This window comes from Homo sapiens, chromosome 6, assembly GCF_000001405.40.
Source record: "Homo sapiens chromosome 6, GRCh38.p14 Primary Assembly".
NCBI classification, from domain to species: domain Eukaryota; kingdom Metazoa; phylum Chordata; class Mammalia; order Primates; family Hominidae; genus Homo; species Homo sapiens.
In genome coordinates this window covers 113,650,598-113,656,607 of record NC_000006.12, presented here as the reverse complement: position 1 = coordinate 113,656,607, position 6,010 = coordinate 113,650,598, and positions in this window count along the sequence as shown.

Genomic DNA, 6,010 nt, shown 5'->3' with positions numbered 1-6,010 from the left:
TGCTCTTGCTATATTGCCCAGGCTGGTCTTAAACTCCTGGGCTCAAGTGATCCTTCTGCCTTAGCCTCTCAAGTAGCTGGTTTTACAGGCAAATGTGATACAATGGTAATGAGTAGAGACAATGATTGATTTTTATTGGTTGTGTTTCTATATATTTACATGCGCCAATAATTCAATAAAATATAATTCAGTATTTGGCTTAATTTTGAAAAATTAATACTATATATTTAGAGTAGCTTTATATTAGAAGTTTATGTATTATTTAGAAAAATGATATTTAAATTAAAGTTAGCTACAAATTTCTTAAGAAGACTTGACCCAAATAAAAAATAGTGGTGTTTGTAAGTCAGCCTTGAATGCCAGTAGTTTAAATTTTAGCAGCAGCAGCATAGTAACTTGTTGGAGTTAAAGCACGGGAATTGGCTCATTAAATAAGTTTTGTAGTATCTAATTAAGAAACAGCTAGGAAATTCTGTTCAATAAACCATCAAAGCGTATTTCTCTTCCTTTTCCAAATTCTGCTCCTTCTCCATTTTTAAGAGGTTCATAAGAATTGTATGTACATACGTTAAACTTCGTTTTAAGGCTTTGCCAACATGATGTTCACTTCATAGACAAATTAAATCAAGTACAGACAAGCTATACATGTCTGAGGTACTGTAGATAGTTTCTGCTGGAACCAGTAACAGAGCTAGAGTTTCTTATTTGCAAATGTAGTAAGTATTTGAGAACACTGTATGACATATTTGTAGGTGAAAACTATCAAGCTTGTTATACAAAGATAAATGTATCTCTTTTACAATATTCATCACCCTCTGCATAGATATCATAATTTTCAACCTCAATTAAATTTACTAAAAGAATGTTCATTTTAATGAAGCTTTACAAACTATTTCAGTATTTAAATGTTTAGTAGTCTCTTGCCATGGAAAAAGGAGAAGCTTTATCAATTTTTCAATCACAAATTTATAGTGACAAATATACCATTGAGACAACAAAGGCTAGGCCATTTCATAATTTACATGAATATATAATATCTAGATCCCTAGATATGCCATAAGGGTAGTCTACAGAAGCTACCAGAACATAATAGTACCTTGCACTTGTAAAACAATTACTACAACATGTTTTCATGTAATGTATCTTACTTTTTATATGTAAATGTATTTTTCTTTATTACAATAAAAATACCCACACAATATAAGAAAATTGGAAAACAGACACATAAACAGAAGAAAAATAAAACAACATTACTTTGAGTTAAACCTTTTGGGCCTCTTGGTGAGTATAATTCCATACTCCCACCTCTTCTCTCTCTATGTAAGTGTGTGTGTGTGTCATTATATATACACATTTGTGATTTGTTTGTATATTTAATAACTACATTTTGTACATCACATAACAATAGCTATATTCTTTATTTTTACATTATTTTTATAGCTGTATAGTACTCTGCTATGTAGGTATATTCTAATTTATTTACCCAAATTCTATTATTAGACACTTTGTTATTTCTAATATTTGGTTATTACAAATAGCACATTGGTAAACATCCTTTTATATACATATTTCTGCACTTTCTTAATTATTTCCTGAGGCTAAATTTCCAGAAAAGGAATAACTAGGCCACAGGTCTGGACATTTTTATGTTTAATAATTACTGCCAAAAAGTATTGTAATCTATACTCTGACTAATGGCATATGAGAATATCTCTTTTCCCTCACTAACTAAAATTAAATATTTAGTTTTCATTGTCTCATTCTGGTTCTTATAATAATTCTATGAGGTAGACAGAGCAGATTAGGAGAAATGCTAATGGTCACACCTCCAGAAAGTAAGACTGGGAGTCAAGTTTCCTGACTTGTCTTACTATATACTTTCCTATCACATACTTCTTGCCATCATACTGTCAATGGTGGCAATTCCAAGTGAACTGTCAGGAAAGAACCTAGACCAGGAATTCTTACACAAGCCACAGCCTGACTCATGTCTGTGCTGCTGGCAGTGCCCTGGCCTCCAGCCATGGGACTGTGGGTGGCACAATTCTTGTATTCTGAGAAAAAGGCAGTGTTGGCACACTGCTTGTCCAGGCCAGTGCTTAAGCCAATGGAGAAGGGAGGAGGTAAGGAAGTTGGAGTCAAAGAGGCAGTCTTGGGTGAGCAAATTATAGACCTTGTAAGAACATGTCCTTAAAACTTTTCAATTCTTGCTCTGTATTATAAGTAAAATAATTCAGGCTATCTATCTTACTGAATATTTTAAAGATGAGTCTGTTTTTATTATGTTTTAATTGTTCGATTCATTTATATCATTTAATTGGTAGAATTCTGTTTTTATTTTTACTTATACAAAACACACAGAGTCAAGTTCTCCTAAGTCAAAACAGAAGAGAGAGTGAGAAAAAATTCCCTTTTGAATAGAAAAACAAGAGTTTTTTCTTTCTTTCTTTGCATATCATATGGTTTAATAAATTTTATTCAAGTACTTAAACAATTGAAAAGAAATAGCATTGAGTGCAATCATGTAGGTGTTTGCAAAGTTCTGAAAACTATTTGGCTATAGTATTGTGTAAGAAAACTGTCATGCAAAAGTGAAAGCAATATTTTTTAAGGGTAAATAAACCAGGTATCATAGCAGACACCGTGGATCACTAAGATGAAACAGTTATAGGTTCTGTTTTAGGAACATTCGTCTTGTAGAGGTAAGAAGACTGCTTCAAGAATCTTCCTGACCACTAACCTTGGTTGGATCACTCTCTTCTCTGCTTGAACATCACTGTTTTCCCCCCTTCATTAAATCTGCTTCATAAATTGAAGCAATCCATTTATTTGTCTGTTGTACCCACTAGACCATAAACCCCTTGAAGGCAGGAATGATGCCCTACTCCTTACAAGAGACTATGTGAAAGGCAGGACATAGAAACTTAACAGGCAGAGTATAATTATACCATAGGAAATTTGTCGCATTTTATCATTCAGAGGTACTGATACGGTTTGGCTCTGTGTTCCCACCCAATGTGGAATTTTAATCCGCATATGTCAGGGGAGGGACCTGGTGGGAGATGATTAGATCATGGAGGAGGATTTCCCCCATGCTGTTCTCATGATAGTGAGTGAGTTCTCATGAAATCTGATGGTTTAAAAGTGTGGTGCTTCCCTTCTCTCTCTCTCTCTCTCTCTCTCTTGCCACCATGTAACACATGCCTTGCTTCCCCTTTGCCTTCTGCCATGATTGTAAGTTTCCTGAGCCCTCCCCAGCCATGCAGAACTGTGAGTCAAATAAGCCTATTTCTTAATAATTTACCCAGTCTCAGGCAGTTCTTTACAGCAGTGTGAAAATGGACTAATACAGGGAGAAATTATTTTTCGATTATTGTATTCATTGTCTTTCAAAAATATTGGAATATGCTTTTCAAATTGATTAAGGTAAGTTGATATAACATATAATCAATTTCAGGTTTTTATTAATTTTGTAAACTTAGGCAAATCACTTAATTTGTGGCTTCAATTTTTCTCATCTGTAAAGTAAGAGTGTTAGACCAGACCAATAATTCTCAACTGATATTGAGGAGACCTACCCTGATATTCAGGGATGTAATAGAATACATTAGAGTCTTCATTAGAGTATTTGTGATTTGAAAAAATTTATTCAGTATAATTATACAATTTTATAGTTGGGAAGAAAAAAGAAAGTTACTACTTCTGTAATATTAAACAGTAGAAAGAGAGGTCCAGGAAAATGTTGGCTCCTGTGTTTCTCAGAGGTTGAAGGCTAAACCGTTCCAGGAGGTTGTGTAAAATCTTTGGGGTAGCTGTGGTAGGGACTCTGACTTACTCTCTTTTATGTTATTCATTGAACTAAATAAAGGTGAAAGAACTGCGTTAATTCCCCTCCCATCACCTAACATTTTTTCATGGCTCACATATACCTTGTTTTTCTTTGGATATATTGGAAGAACTCCGTAACCCTTTTTATTTTATTTTATTTTTTTTGAGATGGAGTTTTGCTCTTGTTGCCCAGGCTGGAGTACAATGGCATGATCTCAGTTCACCACAACCCCCACCTCCCAGGTTCAAGCTATTCTCCTGCCTCAGCCTCCCAAGTAGCTGGGGTTACAGGCATGTGCCACCACGCCAGGCTAATTTTGTAATTTTAGTAGAGAGACGGGGTTTCTCCATGTTGGTTGGGCTGGTCTCGAACTCCTGACCTCAGGTGATCTTCCTGCCTCAGCCTCCCAAAGTGCTGGGATTACAGGCATGAGCCACTGTGCCCAGCCTCAGTAAACTTTTTTATTGTTTCTTTAAATTTGTCTTATTTTGAAGAATGGCAAAATTATAAATCACATTAATATTAGGTTCAGAAATACCACAAAGATAAGTAAACCAGACATTGTAATTTATCCAAGTGTCTCCGTGTAGACCTGTTGTTACTTAATTTACCTGCTCACATGATCAAAGAGAGGCTGATAGTTTAGTTTAGGTGTGGCTTAGAAGATTCTGTGAAAGAAGTGAAACTCAGCCTAGCATGTTTGGGTGACTGAGTGCTCTATTTTTAAGGAACTAGAGGTTTTGTTCTCATGGAGCTTGGGGTCTTTATGTGAAGGAGGTTTTTTAAAGGGTTAATTAACTATTTGCTGTTTGGCATCTCAAAGATTTCCCCATACAATAAAATGCTTCCAAGTCACAACCCTCATATTTACATACATTTCTGGTATGAATATCCACAAACACAACAAACGTATAAAGTGGTTTGAAATACCCAATTAAAAAAAAAAAAATATATATATATATATATATATTTTTTTTTTCGAGATGGATTCTCGCTCTGTCCCCCAGGCTGGAGTTCAGTGGTGTGATCTTGGCTCACGGCAACCTCCGCCTCCTGGGTTCAGGTGATTCTCCTGCCTCAGCCTCCCAAGTAGCTGGGATTACAGGCATGTGCCACCACACCAGGCTAATTTCTGAATTTTTAGTAGAGACAGGGTTTCGCAATGTTGGCCAGGCTGGTCTCGAATCCCTGACCTCAGGTGATCTGCCAGCTTGGCCTCCCAAAGTGCTAGGATTACAGGCATGAGCCACCACACCCGGCCAAAATACCAAATTAAAATTTTAAAAACAAGGTAACAATGGAAGTGTTAGTCCATTTCAGGGGCTGATGCGCAAGTTAATTCTTGCCCTCTCCTCTTCTCTGTGGCTCTCCTCAGCTGGCTAGTGGCGGAGGCAGCTGTGTTATTTATATTCTGTGGCTGTCAGAGGCCTGCTCCGTGCTCCTCAACCCATGTGGTACCCCGATGACTTGGCCACAGTCCAGTTGTCACAGGATTCCACAGCAGCCTGATCCTTCTTGCACCAGTGGCAGGCCAGCCTGGGCTCCTTTGCCCCTCCACTTTGCCTGTGTGTACCTCAGATGTGCAGAAGCAGAACCTATTTTTCTATCTTGTATTTTAAGCTCTAACTCTAAACTACTACACAGCTCAAGACTAAGTAGGGCATTGTTAAATTCTGGATAGTGGTCTACAGATTTTGAGTGGCATTTAAAAAATACACTTTTAGCCCTAAATCTTGAAGTATCTCTGTCAGTCTGGGTCCTCTAAAAAGGACCCAGTCAAAATGGGATTAGATGAGCAAGAGATTTATTAGGAAAAACGGGCAGGGAGCATGAGGTGTCGGGGATGGCCTTCAGCCCCTGATGCGGGTCTGAGAAAGGAGAGCAAGAAGGAAGGACGGAGTTGGGAGGAGCCTCAGACCACAGTGCAGCTCTAAGAATGTCTCTGCCAGGCCAGTGAGGATCCCCCGGCTCCAAGACCTGAAGCTTCTCATTAGAGGAGTTCTGTGTCAGGCAGAGGTGGCCTGGTCCTATTATCCCCACTGCACTATGCCATTATCTGGGAGCAGCCCGTGGAAAGTAGCATCTGGTTTGAACGCTGCAACCAGCTTAAAGGTGGGGCATCAGAAGGCTGTTAGTCAGCTCTCTTCTCTGCTGCGGGTCCTCTGGAAGGAAGATTTGAAT